This window comes from Homo sapiens, chromosome 1 (genome assembly GCF_000001405.40).
Source record: "Homo sapiens chromosome 1, GRCh38.p14 Primary Assembly".
NCBI lineage: Eukaryota > Metazoa > Chordata > Mammalia > Primates > Hominidae > Homo > Homo sapiens.
Window position 1 is genome coordinate 171932944 of NC_000001.11, and position 18129 is coordinate 171951072.

Consider the following 18129-nt stretch of genomic DNA (forward strand, 5'->3'; position numbering starts at 1 on the left):
TTTCCCATAACTTTTTGCCTCGTGTCTTCTAAGTCCTTGACCATTCCTTCTTTTTTTTTCCTGTTAATCAGTGAGGATCATAGCACACATAGCACCTCACTTTTCAGGCAAAATAGACTAGAAATTGTTTCTTCAGGGAAGACTTTCTGTCTACAGTCTTTCAGGTACCTCAAAATGGGGTTTTTGCATTACAGCACTCCACTCTGGCTGGTGTCAGCTGAAAACTGGGCTAATTTATTTTCATCCTAAGTGAACTTGTTCATAGAGAAATCTCATGTGACCGTAGACTTGGGTTGACGGTGGGCTAATAAAATGGGGGAAAGAAGCGATCTGGGGTGTGTGTTCACTGCTCATGCAGTTTGCTTGTGCCTTCAGATCTTAATTGGGACATAATATAAGTATGACTTCCTTTTGATTCATTCATTTATTCAACAAATATTTATTGAATGATTACTAGGTGCCAGGCAAATATTACTGTCATCATGGGGCTTACATTCTAGGTGGAGAGAAACCAACAATGAACAAAACAAATACACAGAATGTTAGGTGATAAAGAAAGTGAGTGTTCAAGCCACGCTGATATTTATGTAGGCAGAGGTAAGTTAGAAGGTTGTAGATGGGAGCGGCTTATGTGTTTGAAGTTTAGAAAGGAGGCAAGTGGGGCTGGAGGTGGATGAGTGAGACGGGGTGGTAGGAAATGGGGTAAAGAGAGCTACTGTTGCTGCAACAGCAAGAAAGCTGATTGGGGAGGGTCTTGTGAGCCAGGGATGATGAAAGGGAACATGATAGAAGGATTAGCATCTGAAAGTGGGGGCCACTGACTGTAAGTAAAATAAAGGATAGTGTGATTGAGATATTGGAGAGTGAGCTAGGGTAATTCCTTTACACACAAGGAGGATGGGAGGACGCCTCCTCTATTGCAACCAAATGGAAAAAGGAAAATGTGGGCAGCTGTGGTTATGTCTGTACTTTTAGCGGTAGAGAGTTAAGGGATTCTTCATTTACTGACTTTATTCTCTCCAGGAAGTAGAAGATAAAGTATTTGCTGATAGTAATCATTTTCTCTTCTCATTTCCATTAGTTCTGTCTCTCATTCCTCTTCAAAGTTTTATTACTGTTGGCTAGGACTTCAGAACAATGCCTTTCTCCTAGTTGTGATGAAAATGCCTTTTGTGTTATACTATGCATATATTACTTACTGTTCATTTGTCCTGGTGAGGAATTATTTTATTTTAGATTTTAAAAAGATTTTAAAGCATAACAAATAGGTGTGTAATTTTCTTGAGTGCCATTTTGGCATCTATTGAGATGATCACTTAAAAAACTCTTGGACATGTTTACCCTTACATTTATAGATTTCTTATTTAAGCATCCTTGCATTCCTAAGATATACTTGATTATAGCAATTAATACTTTTATTGTACTGTTGAAGTAATTCCACTAATTTATGTTATTTGCATTTCATTGTCTCTGTATACATTTATTATTGTCAAGTTATTGAATCAAAGCTATACTAGTCAGCATAGAATAAGTTAGTAACTCTCCCTCTGCTTCTCTTTTACTTTCTTCTATTAGCTTTTGCAATTCTTAAAAGCCCAGGGATGCATTTTAGTCTCTCTTTCCAATTAAGGAGCGCTACTAGCCTTGTTTTTTACAAAGTGTATGTCTTTGACTCAGGGCTTCAGAACTAGCAGCTGTGGTAAGAGCTTAGGCAAGGTTAGACCTGGGGATGTGGTGGCACCTGGGTCCGGAGGTGTGGGATGTCAGGACACTCAGGGACTATTCAAAACCATGTGGATACTGAGTGTCCAATGCAGTGACTTTGTCATAACCCTAGAAAGTCTTATAAAGAGATTGGCAGGCTCAGGACAGATACTATGTGGGAAACTAAAATGATGAGTAGCTACCATTTTTTGAGCATAATCAGCATTATCAGCACTGCACATTTTGATGCTATTTTCATTTAGTCCTTACAAAATCTTCTGGGATAGATATTATGATTTCCTTTTAGAATAAGAGACCCATTTTAGAAAAAGAGACTTAAGCAATTTATCCAAAGCCGCACTGTTGGTAGGAGTGGGGAATTTTACTCGTATCTGTATGATACTGCTAATATTGCATTTTTAAAAGAGAAAACTCCTACGGCTTGCTTTTATATTTGCAGAATATATTGTATATTTTATAGTATATTTTTAATGTAAAGGAGAATAAATATATAAATATTAAATATTATTTGGTTAATTCAGAATTACTATCTAATTTCCAACACAATGCCTATTTAGTAATATTTAACTGCTTGTCTCCATCTGCTGTTGTATTAGTTGCCAAACCGAGCCAAAAAATTAGAGGCCCTAAGCCTTATTCGGTGTAATTTGTTATAGGACATTTAGTACTTAGTACAGGAAAGCATTCCAGGAAATCACGTAGTATTGTGAGAAAGGTGAGGAAAATCATGGCTTCTTTTTTATTAATAAAGGTAAAAATTTTAAGTGCTAGGTCAAGGTAATTTGGTTTCAGAGAGGGACATTTCTGAAGGTGTGGCTTGGGAGGACAAGAGATGTACAAAACATTGATGAGGTCTTGGGTGATGACTGCAGTGTCATGAGCAAGGGAGCAGGAGAGGGTCTTTGTAAGACAATGGGACAGTTTCAGTGCGTTGTGGCTTCCTCCAGCGCCATGTTGAAACTGGCTTATGCCAGCTCCTAAGATCTGATTGTGTGCCTCTCTTTCCATGTCCATATTCAGTGACATCATGATGGTAGCTAGAAATTAGTCATGGTTGGAGTATTTACACTTCAGAAATTGGCAAATACTACAAATCAAAACTTTTTTTTTTTTTTTTTTTTTTTTTTTGCCTCTAGGGAGCCAGTTGTTAAGCATTTACCAGGACACCACTAATTCCTCCTTTCTCAATACCTGATCTTACTGTTTACTGGTTAAGCCATGTGTCAAACTGAGAAAGCAAATGTGCCTGAGGGTAATTTGATGAACTCCTGAGCACATTTAACGTATTACAGTGTTGCTAATTTAAGAAACAATCCATTTGGAATTTGATATGCCCCCTGAAGAAGGTGTTTTTTTTTTTTAAGACACCAGAATACAAGTCACTCTTTGCATTAAAAGTTACTGTAGGCTGGGAGCGATGGGTCATACCTATAATCCCAGCACTTTGGGAGGCCAAGGTGGGCAAATTACTTGAGGTCAGAAGTTTGAGACCAGCCTGGCCAACATGGTGAAACCCCATCTCCACTAAAAACACGAAACAGCCGGGCATAGTGGCACATACAGCTACTTGGGAGGCTGAGGCAGGAGACTCACTTGAACCCGGGAGGCAGAGGTTGCAGTGAGCCAAGCCCAAGATCACACCACTACACTCCAGCCTAGGTGACAGAGTGAGACTCTGTCTCAAAAAAAGAAAAGAAAGAAAGAAAGTTACTGTTGGCGGGTTATAACAGTAAAGTCTCTGGGTCAAGGTTAAGGACAAATGGTTTTGTCTCCTGGATAATTTTTCTGTTAAAATATCTCTCTAAATGCTACTATATTGTTTACTCTGCTTTATTTCAATGACATTAGTATAAGAAAGGAAGATACTAAAATAAGAAATCACAAAGTAAATAAGTTAAGGGTAACTTTAAATTACCAAAGTATTCTTTCTTTTGTAGAAGGTTTTCTTGCTATTTCTTCCTTTCATGGATGTTAAATGTATTATTCATTTAATTTACCACCTTTATATTGTATCTATTACATAATGTAAAGGGTGTCCATGTTTTAAAATTTTTACATGACTTGGAATTTATTAGATAATTATCAGTATTGAGTATTTGGGATCCTTGGCTGGAATTGCTATAAATAATTATTTTAATAAAGAAAGATACCCAGTAACAGAAATCAGAAAACTTGTTTGGAGGCACCAAGTAAGCAATGATGAATCATCACATTCTGGGAGAGGGGCTCCACAATGGGGGTCATGTTTAGAGCAGCCTTAGAGCACTGTGAGTCTAGGCAGACTGAGCAAAAGGGAAGAGATGGATTCCTACAACAATACTCAGGAGTCACTAATATGAGAACAATGTCAACTTTTCACCGATGAGATATTTTAAGGATGTTTATAGATTAGTTAGACTTTGTCTTGATTTCTGTACAATGTCAAGGACTTGTTCTCTAGTTTCATAAATTAGACTGATACATAGCAAAAACATTCAAATCTTGTTTTGAATAACAACATTGAAAACACTTTAAAACTACATTTCTCGCTTTGTTTTACATTTAAGTGTCTGAATTTAATTAAAATTGATATTTTAGAATAAGATAATCTGCTTTTGCAAAGGATTTATGTTTTTTTTTTTCCATTGTAACAAATTAACCTCATGGTAATAAATGTACTTCTGAAAACATTTCTTCTTAAACTACAGCTTTGACCTTGTTCTGCTTCACTGCTGGTTCCCTATTGCTGCTAAAGTGCAGGTTACAGAATTCATAGTTTAAATCTCTTTAATATTGTTATTCTTAAATTTTAATGTGCACAAGATACACTGGGTGGGCTTCTTATAGATGCAGACTCCTGGACATCACCCCTGGGAGGTTTGATTCATGAAGTCTGAGGTAGGGCCCAGAGACCTGCTTTATTTACTTATTTATTTATTTGAGACACGGTCTCACTCTGTCACTCAGGCTGGAGTGGAGTGGTGCCATCATGGCTCACTGCAACCTTGATCTCCCAGGCTCAACCTATTATCCTACCTCAGACTCCAGAGTAGCTGGGACCACAGGGGTGTGCCACCACATTTAGCTAATTTTTCTATTTTTTGTACAGAGATGGGTTTCAGCATGTTGCCCAGGCTGCTCTCAAACTCCTGGGTTTAAGCAATCCTCCTGCTTCAATCCCAGCAAGCCTCCTAAAGTGCTTTTGGATTACAGGTATGAGCCACAATGCCTGGCCAGATCTGCATTTTCAAGGACTAGTATCAGTTGCTTCTAAAGCTGTTGGTCTTTGAATCACATTTTGAGAAACACTCTCAACAGTTTCATCAAATTCTCTCACTATTGTTTTCTTTCTCTAGACACCTTTCCTTCTTCCTTTTAATAGAGTTTTTTTTTTTTTCTTGAAATGAGCAATCGTTCTTTTTATGATTTTCTAAATGTTCAGTCATGGCATCTGTATAGAAGTCTAAGCACAGTGCTTTGAACATAACCAGGCACTCATTCAATGTTGAACTGTGTTCTCTTGCCACCTGGGCATCTAGCTCAGACACCAGCACCCCTGGCTGTGGTGTTTCAAGACCTTTCACTATCAGAGGTTGAAATTCTAATAGCATCAAGGTTTTTTTTTTGTTTGTTACATAACCAACCCACCTTCCAGGCATAAACAGAGATAAAAACTATCCTACTGAAATCCCTGTACAAACAAGTGGTGCATATACACTTGTCCCTCGGAGCTTGGCATCTCCTCCTTGATTTCTGATAAGCCAAGGAATTTCCATGGTCCCCATGGAGTGTCAGACAGTTCTCAAGCACATAATTTTAAATCTGGAAAATGTAACTATCAAAATAAATTAAAATATATTTTGTGGAGGAGTTGGATAATGAGAATGATGAATTTTCTAAAAAGTTTGAGGATCACTGGAATAGAAGTGTTCAAAGGCATTTACCTTTTGGGCAGATGCTTTGTAATATTTTTCCTTGAATATTGGACACAATGTAATAAATAAATGAATCTCCAAAGTTCCCAGTTGGAAAAACATGCTTATTAGATGGAGAGAGATGCAGATACATCATACATATATTAAGGTCGGACTTGGTCCAAATATTCCCACATTTGTAACCTATTTCATTGAGAGGTCAAAATGGTTCACTTTCTGAAATCTTATAAGCCTTGTTTTTGAGGGGAAAAAAAGGTAGTTGGTGCTATCTGGGACTGTCATTCAGACCTACTTTAAATCTTATTTGATTGTGTTTTTTCAGGTCACTGTTCTTTTAATATTTGCATAGCTTAATAGATTCAACTTACCTTTATTTTATGCCTGGTTATTGGGATACCACTGTGAATTGCTGGTTATGTTAATTTTTTCTTCCTTTTTTTTCCTTACTGACAACACCCCAAAACTTATTTTTAACCCACTTTCTTTTGTTACTTTTTTTCCTTGGCTTAAGCATTGATTACACATTTATTAATAGACAAAATTTCTAGTAGTCAATTATGTACCTTCCAATATTGAGATCAATTTTTGCTCAATTCTCAAAATTTTGAGAAAAGCAACTGATCCAAATTTTATTTCTTCACAGTTAAATCACTGCCTTTTAACACCACATACATTTCCATTTATTAGGGAAATTACTAAATCAAAGGTATTATATTTCTCTTTGAAGTAAATGAAGAAATAATATATTTCAGTAGAATTACCACTCATGATTGTGAGGTTAAAGTGATTTTTGAATTGGTGTTTATTTGTTCTATTTTAGGTTTATTTGTCTCTTGTCTATTTTTGGAGGAGATATGGAGGTTTGTAGCTGCCTTGAGTTTCCAAACCAACGATTATACTTCTCTGAACTTAGTTCCATTTGGTCCATGTAATGTCTACTCCAGAATTAATGTCTGCTAAAAGAGATCGGATGGAAGAAAGACAAGTTCCTTAGTTTTAGGACTTTTCTTTTTTCTATTCCCTTCCTCATTCCCATTTAGAAAAAATAGGTTGTCTTGAAATAGTTGATATTGAAGAGAACTAAAAGACAAACTGTAGAGTTGTTAATATCTGTTTAAATCTGAGAGGAAGAAGTATAATTTTTTTAAAGTAAGAAAATGAATAGACTTGTTTTATATCACGCCTGGGTCTATAGTTGATAATAATTGTTACTTACCTACGCCTTCTTACTCTTATTGCTTCCCCTTGGGCCTCTAACAACAGAAATCATAGATCACAGATGCCCCTGTATTTGCATTTGTTAGATGAGTTGGAGTAGTCTGGAAGGCATTGTCTCTGTCTTCCCTTCCTCAGGGGGCATGCTTTATCCTTCCTGCTGCTACAGCCTGTCTTCCTCCCCATGATACTCTTATTGATCAGTAGTCACTGACCACGCAGAGAAGGACAGGTTATTTCATTTATTGCTGAATGATATGATCAGTGAGTTTAAGAAGTTGGTTGTTAGGGTGTCTGAACAGCTAAGAACAGACGATAATTGGGTTATTCTGCTGATTTATAAGATGGTTTTGTACTCACTCTAGGTGTTTATTTTTCAAAGTGAACTAACTTCTCATTAAGTACTTTTCAAATAATTGTGTTAGTTTAATATTAACAGTCTCCTGCAAGCCTGGTGGAATTTTTTTCTCATTATTTTCCCAAAGTGTATTTGTTTCATAAATTTTTATCTTTAAGTTTTTGCATTCATTTATTCATTCATCTCTTCATTAATGGATTTTGAATGCCTGCAGTGTGCTGCACAACAGAGAGGTTGCCAGTTTGTGTCTTGCAGACCATGTTTCAGTTGTTTTCCTGTTACTCTCATCTTGGCTAATATTTAAAGAGACCTGAGTTTTTCTTTTTAACCTCTGCATAATTAAAACACTGGATGGGATTGTTTCCCTCAGTTAGCTTCAGTTTTTACTGTTACATTACATTGCAATTTGGGGTGATGCAATTCTTTACAAGCACTATAAAAAGTTGGACTTAGAAAGAATGTATCTCTGTAAGGCATGTTGAAAGCAACTTGAGAGTCTGTTCTTGGAAGAGTCTTTAATCTAAGGCATATCAACTACAATTTCCATTTTAAATGTCTATTTGCCCTTGTTTCTCTCATTCCCTATCAAAACCCTTTTTCTTGACATGTATATGATATACCTGACTTTTCATCATTGTACTATTTTAACATTTTTATTTTTCTGTGTACATGTCTACCAATATTTATATTAGATACCATGTAGGCATTTCATTGATCATGTACTAGTGCAGAATTCAGAATAAACATAAATATATTTAAATATGATACTGGCTTATTTTGATTTAGAATGTAGGTGTAATCTTTAAAAATGGTCTCAATTGTTTATTATTGTCTAAATTGTTGTTTGCTTTAAAATAAAATTTTAAATTATTTTGTATCTGTGCTATTGAGATCATTAAACTTGAGTATTCATTAAAAAAACTCATGAAGAACACATACTTAACAAATGTTTATTGATTACCTTTCCTCATGTGAAAGCTGCATTTTTTTAGGTTTCTGAAGGATAAACAAAGCTACACATATGACAAAGTGCTTACACTAAGCGGGTTATACTATAGTGTCCAACAGGTATGGTGAGCATATGTTCAAATTGAGGATGGCTAGGAAAAAAATTTACAAGACAAATACATGGTGGATTTAGCAAAGGTGGCTTGGGTATTTATTCTCACCTGTTGGGCACTACAGTATAACCCTTTTAATGCTTAGCCAAATCCTTAAATACTTCCTGGATACTATAATAGCAGAGTTACCCACAGGAGTGATATGAAGAAATAATATGACTGAGGAAGGTATACATACTGCAACTGTAGAGTGAGGAAGAATAGTGGAGGTGAATGTTTAGAAGTCAGGCCTGGAGAATACTCCCCCTCAGGAAAAGTCAGCCCTCTTCCTCTTTGTGCCGCCCCACTTCTGGACTGAGATGTCTACCATAGAGTCCATCTTGGTGTGCTATTGACTGGTATATTTGTGTTCATCCTAACAGGATGTTTGCTTCTCAAGGGCAGAGACCAGTGTGTAAAGCTTAATATCCTTGTTCATAGTATCCCTACTTTATGGGTTCATTGTTTTCCCCACATATTAATTAGGAAAGAAAGTGAATTTATTGAATGAACCCCTAACCAAACCACACATATTTCCCATTTCTGTGTCAGTGCTATCATTTTCTAATTATGCCCAACAGCAGTAACTTGTAATATGTATATAATAAAACTGAGTTTCTGTGGTTAAAGGAAAACACTCAGATATCAATACATATAAACCCATATGCCTTTTTTGCACAAGGGGGTTTGTGATTAAGGATGACATACTAAGATTTATATTTTGCTATTTTTTATATTGGAGGGTGACTTCTTTGCATTTTCGGTTATAAAAATCTGTTTGTATTTTTTGTTCATATGTTTGAATTGAGGATGGCTAGGTAAATGATTCACAAGACTAGTACAGAGTGGACTTAGCAAAGGTGGCTTGGGTATTTATTGAGCAAGCTGTTGGGGAAAGATATTTGATGTCTTAGATCCAGAATGTTTTTAAATGCTGCTCACTTGATTTTTTTTTTTTTTTTTTTTTTTATGGAATAAGGGATCTGATACTCTTTTTCTGCTTGGAGTCTGGACCTCAGTTACTGCTCTCTGAGATACTGGCACAGAGTTAAGCCTATTCCAAGGAACCATATGTTAAGTCCTAGTTATAAGTTGCTGAAATGAAAGTTGTAGAGATATACAGCAAACTTTTATGTAAGGAAATAAGCATATGCAAAACTAATACATGTATTTAAACTAACACAACCTCAAAGGAATAAAAGAACGTAAGTGGTACACCAGTGCAAAGGGAAATAATAGGTGAATATTAGATGTTAATTGAAAATTTCATTCATTCATTCATTTCACAAATATTTATTGGGAGCTTCTATGTACCAGACACATATTGAACGAAGTGGGCAATTTTGAATTTATGGGGCAAGACACGCAATAAACAAAACTAAGTAAATTATGTAGTATTTTAGATAATGTTAAATGCTATGGAAGGCAAAAAGTTTAGGGTAAGGGAACTGGGAGTACTGGATTGCAGTTTTATGGAGTTTTTGTATGTCACTAAGTCTTCCTGGAGCTGAAAGGGTGATCCAAGTGGCTATCTTGAGGAAGAGTATTCCAGGCAGAAGCAGGAGCCAGTGCAAGGCTGGGTGCAGTGGCTCATGCCTCCAATCCCAGCACTTTGGGAAGCTGAGGCAGGAGGACTGCTTGTGTTCAGGAGGTTTGAGACTAGCCTGGGCAACATAGTAAGACTTCATCTCTACAAACAGTCAAAAATTAGCCAGGTGAGGTGGCATGCATCTGTAGTCCCAGCTGCTCAGGAGGCTGAGGTCAGGGGACCACTTGAGCCTGGGTGGTTGAGGCTGCAGTGAGCTGTGATCCTGCCACTGTACTCAGCCTGAGCAACAGAGTGAAACACTGTCTCAAAAAAAAATAAAAATAAAAAATAAAAAAAGAAAAAGAAAAAGCCTGTGCAAAGCCCTAAGGTGGACACATGCCTGGCTTACTGAGGAAAAGCAGTGAGACTAGTGTGGCCTGTAGCATAGGAAATTCTTGTTTTTGTCAACCAAAAATAAAATTCTAAGCCCACCAACCATTTGAATAGACCCCTCTTCTTGGCCAAGGGCATTCCAAAGTTAACCTGAGAAACTAGTTCAGGACATGATGGGGAGGGGTAGGGTAGTCATGCCTCATTATACCCACCTCCGTTTTGGAATTACCAATAGAACAGACTCTTTAACTCTGATAAGAAATATTTACAATCTATTATCTCTAAAACCTGCTACCTGGAGGCTTCATCTACATGATAAAACCTTGGTCTCCACAACTCTTACCTTAACCCAGACATTCCTTTCTATTAATTCTAAGTTTTTAGACAATAACTTAACTCTTTCAATCAATTGCCAATGGGGAAATCTTTGAATCTACCTATGACCTGGAAGCCCCCTGCTTCCAATTGTCTCATTTTTCTGGACCAAACCAATCTATATCTGATATGTATTAACTGATGTCTTATGTCCTGAAATTGTATAAATCATGTGTAGCCTGACCACCTTGGGCACATGTTTTCAGGATCTCCTGAGGGCTGTGTCATGGCCATTGGTCACTCATATTTAGCTCAGAATAAATATCTTCAAACTTTTTATAGTTTGACTCTTTTTATCAACTTTTTTTATGTAATGGGTGAGGATTAGAATGTCTTGGCTGATTACTAGTCTGGCTAAGAGGGAGTAATCATTTCCCCTATGAATGTATTATTGATTTTTGATAGAATAAATTCAATAAAGTATATTTTAAGAAAAAAAAAGTTGTTTGAAACAGGGGTCAGCAATCTATTTCTGTAAAGGGCCAGATATTTTAGGCTTTGCAGGACATAGTGTCTCTGTTGCAGCTACTCAACTCTGCTGTTGTACTGTGAAAGCAGCCACAGACAATATATAAATGAATGGGTCTGGCTTTGTTCCAATAAACTTAATGGTCTCTGATATTTGAATTTCATACAGTCTTCACATGCCAGGAAACACTATTCTTAAATTTTTTTTCAGCCATTTAAAACAATAAAAACCATTCTTAGTTTAGAGACTGTACAAAAACAGATATCAGATTGGGTTGGATTTAGCTCAGAGGCCATATTTTGCCAACTTTTAAACAATGTATTTATTTATTTATTTATTTATTTATTTATTTATTTATTTATTTGTTTATTTATAGATGGGGTCTCACTCTGTCACCCAGGCTGGAGTATAGTGGCGGGATCTCAGCTCACTGCAACCTCTGCTTCCCAGGCTCAAGCTATCCTCCCACTACCCGCTGCAGTGGCTGGGACCACAAGCGTGTGCCATCATGCCCAGCTAATTTTCTGTATTTTTGGTAGAGACAGAGTTTCACCATGCTGCACAGGCTGGTATCAAACTCCTGAGCTCAGCGATCCACCTGCCTTGGCTTCCCAAAGTGCTGGGATTACAGGTGTGAGCCACCATGCCCAGCCTCAATTCCTTACTTAAAATACAATTAAATTTTTGTTAATTTTCAGATGATATAGTACTCTATAGTGCCTAAGGAATGTTGGTCCAATAATCACTTATTATTGTACAATATTGGAAATAAGTTGTCTTGGTGTGAGTTCATATTAAAGTGTTTTTTTTTGTTTTCTTTTTTTTTGGTGTTTCCTTTTTTTTTTTTTTTTTTTTTTTTTTGAGGCAGGGTCTCACTCTGTCACCCAGGCTAGAATGCAGTGGCAAAATCACGTCTCACTGAAGCCTTGACCTTCTGGGCTCAGGTGATCCTCCTGCTTCAGCCTCCCAAGTAGCTGGAACCATGGGAACACATCACCATGCCTGACTGATTTTTTTTTAAAAATTATTATTTGTGAAGGGACCTCGCTGTGTTGCCCAGGCTGGTCTAGAACTCCTGGGCTCAAGTAATCCTACTGCTTTAGCCTCCCAAAGTTTTGGGATCACAGGTATGAGCTACTGTGCCTGGCCTATATTAACGTTTTAATCCTCTATGAGAGTATCCTACATCATTGCATTTTTTTTTCCAAGAAAAGAATGATGCAAAATTAGAGAAACCAATTATTTGCATTTTTGGTTCACAGGGTTTCATTTAAGAGACTATTGTATAGATAATATATAGCACAGTTATATAAATGCATGGATAGTAAAGAGTTCAGAAACAGAACAGTTAACCATTGGAAAAAGTGTTAAATCCAGTAAGATGACAAATTCAAATGTTTCATAAAGGAGAATTTCAGAAAATGGATTTTTGCAATTCACACTTTGTTATTGAAGTCAACTTCTTAAAAATCTTGTTTAGCAAGTAATTATGAGATGTTATTTCAAAAATTTTAAATCCATTACATATCCTCATTCAACAATGAGGAAATGGGGGAAATGGAGGAAGTTGACCGTAGAAGCAGAGGATGAACAGGTAGAAGTTGAGTTGGTAGTCTAAGAGGTTTTTTCCTTTTTTTTGGTTTGAAAATTACTGAAAAGTGTCTTCCTAAAATGATTTTTATTTTTATCTCACTCGGAAACAAGAGACAAGAGGCTAAGATTGGGAATAATGGGGATTGGCGTGGGATGTTGGATAACCTACTTCATATAGGGTGATCAAAAGGACTTTCTAAGGAGGTGGCATTTCAGGTAAGATTCTAAGGATTAGCAGTGATACATATGGAAAGTGGGAGAGAATGTTCTAAACAGGAGGATTTGGTAAGTGCAGGAATCCCACGGTAAGGCAGTTTAGCATGCTATAGGAAACTAAAGAAGACCGACATGGCTGGATCATAGTGAGAATGTAGGAGTGTGGTGCCTTGCGCAGCTGGAGAGACAGGGAGGGGAAGATCTTGCAAGACCTGCAGTTTTAATTTTATTCTAATTGCAATGGAAGTCTCTCAAGAGTTTTAAGACAAGGACCATCATATTCTGATTTACATTTTAAAATTTCTTTGTGCGTTTCAAAGACCATATTGTTAGGAAGCATTTGTTGGGGAGGCAAAACTTTTTCTCTGCTCTCTTAGTTCAGTTACCTGGGGCCTGCAAATGAAACTGACAAAAGACAGATTAGCAAGAAAAAAGATATTTTTATTCATGTATGTACTAGAGTTCACAGAAAAATGTGACTCAAAGGGGTGGTTAGAATTTGGGACTTACCTACTATCTTAATAGGGAAAGGGGAGGGACAGAAGGGCACTTACTGGAAAGCAGTCAACTTTTTTGGAAGATAGGTGGGCCTTTGGGAGAACATGGGAGATATGATAGCTTTGTGACAATGTCTATTTTGGTGTGGTGTGGTATTTGGGGAGACTGGGGAGTTGTGCTAAGCTAATGCTGATTGACAGGCATTCTTTCTCTGCTTATTTGCTGTTGGCTAGAAGATAAGGTAATTGTGAACTTGTGATAGGCATGTGCTTGAATATTCCTGTCTTAGTCCATTTGTGTTGCTGTAAAGGAATGCTGAGGCTGGATAATATATAAAGGAAAGAGGTTTATTTGGCTCATGGTTCTGAAGGCTGTACAAGAAGCATGGTGTCAGCAACTGCTTCTGATGAGACCCTTAGAAAGCTTCCATTCATGGCAGAAAATGAAGGGGAGCCAGCATGTGCAGAACATATGTCAAGACAGGAGGCAAGAGAGAAAGAGAGAAAGGAAAGAAGGATGAGGCTCTTTTTAACAACCAGCTCTTGGGGGAACTCTCATGGGAACTGATACAGCGAGAACTCACTCATTACTGCCAGGATAGCACCAAGCCATTCAGGAGGTATCTGCTTCATGACCCAAACACCTCCCATTAGGCCCCACCTCCAACACTGGGGATCAGATTTTAACATGAGACTTGGTGGGACCAAACAAACGATATGCAAACCATAGCAATGCCCAATGCTAGGCAGTTTGGTGAACTGTCCGTTACATATTCATTTCAATTGGTGCAGTGGTGGGATTACCTTGCAGTGGGAGCTATCAGAAGTGACACAAGAGGAACAGGGAACAGATAGCTATTCCTTTAATGGCAGCATGGTGGAAGGCAGGTGGAGTTTGTGATTTTTGTGAGTGGGGGTTGGGGGCTGTCTTTGGACTGAGGCTTCATTTTTTCCCTTTATGTCTCTAGCCTTATCACTAGTTTCAAAATGGGTGTAATAGGACTTGTGTTGTCTGCCGTGCTGTTCTTATGTGAATTTCTTACAGCATGTATGTATGTTGGAGAAAAGGATGTGCATTATCCATCAAGGCTTCTAATTTGACTAGGCTTAGATATTTTTTAAAAATGTTACTCATAGTTTAAGTGTTTTAAATTTCATCATAACAGCCTGAAAAAATCAGTATTTCTCAGCAAATACTGGAGCTGTTATATTTGAATTTACTTTTCAAGAGCTTATTAAGAATAATTTCAGGCATATTAATAACAATAACTTCCCTTAATATTTATGTAGAATTTCAGAATTTCTCTAAGTTAAGATAATAAACTAGCTAAACAAAGTAAATTTGTTTGCTTTGGCCCCACCCTGCCATTTCTATATGTTTTTACTCTTTGCGCATCTCCTCTCTCCCAGGCGCCTGGACTTTCATATCTTCCTAGCACCTTGAAAGCCTTTGCAAGAGCATCTGATAAGTTCATTTACACTCAGATACAAGTAACTGATACATTTTAAAGTGTTTAATATCGCAAAGGTCTTTGAATTTTAGCAGAGAAAATGAGAGGCCGTATATGTTACAGAGATCAATCTCTACTAGTGGAGTTTTCTGTTGGGAAAGTGAGGGGGCTTTGCTTTTGCTTTTCTTCTTGTTTGTTTGCTTTTAATCTGTAGGGGCTTTTTCAAGCTCTTAAAATTACACCACCTATGTGGCTACAGCTCTGCTTCTACCCAGGGTTAGCACCTAATGGTAATTCCATCTTCAGTAAGTTCGGAGTGCTTTATAAATTATTTCTGTTCTTTAAAGCACTCTACTTGTAGCAAACAGACAGCAATTACATCTGTTTGACAGCTGATGAAACAAATACAACATTTTAGAGAAGCAAAATAACATTTGAAAGCACCTGGAAAGGTGTTAATGCATTATACAAATAAAAATTTTGATTGGTAAATTGTTTAAGACCTCACAATTTAAGCAGGCTCACTAAATTTTTAATCAAGATACTAATGTATAATGGATAGGGAAAGTAGGAGGAGTTAATACTGAAATGTTTTAAGAATGATCCAGGTTAAGAATTCTATTTATTTGAGTGCCCAAGTTAAACCATCATTTTTATTTTTTAGGTTTTTGGGTGCTTGAGAATGGAAGGGTGATATTGTAAACTGTCAAATGGCCAATGCCAAGGTGAAAATGTCCACATTATATAGATAAGCTTACACCTGAATGAGCTTCTCATTAATGACCACTTTAGAGAGAAAATGGATGGCAGCTCCTCACGAATAACTTGGGTAATTGAAAGAAATGCTGCCAAGGAAAACAACTACTATGTGTTACTGGTTCTACTGGAACCCTGTTAACATACTTCCTCAAACAGTTTCCTGAAAGAGCCAAATTCCTGAATGGTAATCTGACCAAAACACTAAACAACTCCTGTGGTTAAAACAGAATCCACAGGATTCTGTTTTCATTAGAGGAAGTACTAAGGTCAAGATTTGTAAACTACAACTAAATTATGAAAATGATTCTTCTTCCTAGTATTCAGGCACTCAAGAGTTCTGAAAAAATGCAGTGTTATGTGACTTCTTCAATTATGTAATTTGTTTAGATAGATTGTTTAGGAAGTGCCTCATTTTATTTGATTCTCATATGAAAAAGAATATTCTTATCTGTTACAATTTTTTTAAAAGAGAAAAGCATAAAGTTACTAAAAAATAAAATCTTTTCTTATCATACAGAGACCTCAGAAATTTATCATTTTCATGAGATAAATCACTTCCCTATTCATAGACTGTTTTAATATGGGAAATTGTCGATTATATTTTAAATATAAGTAAAATATTACTAATTTTTGTACCATTAACAAAAACATATTACTCCACCAATACCTACTTCTAGTTTAAGCTCAGTATATAAATAGAAATGTTAGGCCTGGGTTCTTCCTTTGAGGACAAGGATCAAGAATCCACCAAGGGTAGGGTGGGGAGTGTGGAATTGCAAGTGCAGGCATAAGAAGGGGTAGCAAATAAACACATGAAAAGATACTCAACATCAGTAGTCTTGAGGGAAATAAAAATTAAAACCATAACCAGGTATTATTTTGTGTTCGTTTGAGACAGGCTCTCCTGCTGTCAGCCAAGCTGGAGTGCAGTAAAATGATCATTGCTTACTGTAGCCTGGACTTCCCAAGCTTGAGCAATCCTCCCACCTCAGCCTCCTGAATATATGGGACCACAGGCACATGCCAGCATGCCTGGCTAATGAAATTTTTTTTTTTTTTTGTAGAGACAAGGTCTTGCCATGTTGCCAGGGTTGGTCTTGAACTCCTGGGCTCAAGCCGTTCTCCTGTCTTGGTTTCCCAAAGTGCTGGGATTACAGGAGTGAACCACTGCACCTGGCCTCACAATGATGTATTATTATACACCTATTAGTATGTCTAAAATTAAAAAGACTGACCATACAAAGTGTTGACTAGGATGCGGAGGAACTGGAACTCTTACACACTGTTGGTGTCAAATGTAAAATGGCACAACCACTTTGGAAAAGAGTTTTGCACTTTCTCAAAAAGTTACACATGTACCATATGACCCAGCCAATCCACTCCAAGGTACAGTATTTACCCAAGAGAAATGGATGCATTTGTCCTCACAACAACTTGAATACAAATAGCCAGAAACTGGAAACAACACAAATGATCATCAACAAGCGAATGGACAAACATATTGTGGAACATTCATGCAATGGAATACAACTTAGCAATAAAAAGGAATTATGTGCTCAATGGCTGGGGGAACATTCATACAATGGAATACAACTTAGCAATAAAAAGGAATTATGTGCTCAGTGGCTGGGGTGAATCTCAAAATAATGATGCAGCGTGAAAGAAGCCAGAAAAAAAAGAGTATATATAGTATGATTCTGCAGATGGTCTCCAACTTACAGGGTTCAGCTTAACAAATTGTTGACTTTATGATGGTGTGAAAGCAATATGCATTCGGTAGAAACTATAATTTAAATTTTTATCTTTTCTGGTCTAGTGATATGTGGTAGGATACTTGGCAGTCAGTCAACCATGAGATCATGAGGTAAACACTGATATTCTTCAGCATACTGTGTTACTAGATGATTTTGCCCAATTGTGCACTAATGAAAGTGTTCTGAGTGCATTTATAGTAGGCTAGGCTTGGTAGGTTCAGCATATTAAACGCACTTTTGACTTAAAATATTTTCAACTTATGATGGATTTATTAGGACATAACTTCATTGTAAGTCAGGGGCATCTGTATTTATATAAAAATATAGAAAATGCAAATTAACCTATAGTGACACAAAGCCCATTAGTGGTTTTTGGTGGAGGATGGGAAATGGTTCTGTGAGGAAGAAGGAATTACCAAGGAGCATGATTAAACTTTTTGGGGTGATGAAAATGTTCTTTAACTTGGTTATAATGATGGTTTCTCAGGGGTACACACGTGTGTACTTACAAATTGTTCACTTTAAATATGTGTACTTTATTGTATATCAATTATACCACAATAAAGCTATGAAAATATGTGTCCATATGCCATATCGCTCTAATTTTGTGGCTTAATCATATGCAAAAACTCCTCATCTTCCTCTTCCTCCTCCTCCTCCTTCTCCTCCTCTTCCTCCTCCATTTTTTGGATGGGGAAAGGAGGGTGTGCTGTGTCGTCTGGTCATGCTTTGATTTCTGTTCTCTGGGTTTCCCAAACACATTAGGTAATAAAGACAACATG

At 37.0% G+C, this 18129-nt stretch overlaps 1 protein-coding gene across 26 annotated transcripts in view, besides 1 other annotated feature; it reads left to right on the forward strand.

Moving 5' to 3' along the window:
- DNM3 (dynamin 3) overlaps positions 1-18129 on the forward strand; it is a 576969-nt gene that overhangs the window by 91446 nt on the left and 467394 nt on the right. The window lies entirely within an intron of this gene.
- Positions 9518-10019: an enhancer, noted in NCBI's record as "H3K27ac hESC enhancer chr1:171911601-171912102 (GRCh37/hg19 assembly coordinates)". NCBI's record gives its function as "activates a minimal SCP1, AML or CMV promoter by ChIP-STARR-seq in naive H9 embryonic stem cells {active_cell/tissue: H9 hESC(naive)}" and the evidence as "EXISTENCE:reporter gene assay evidence [ECO:0000049][PMID:30033119]".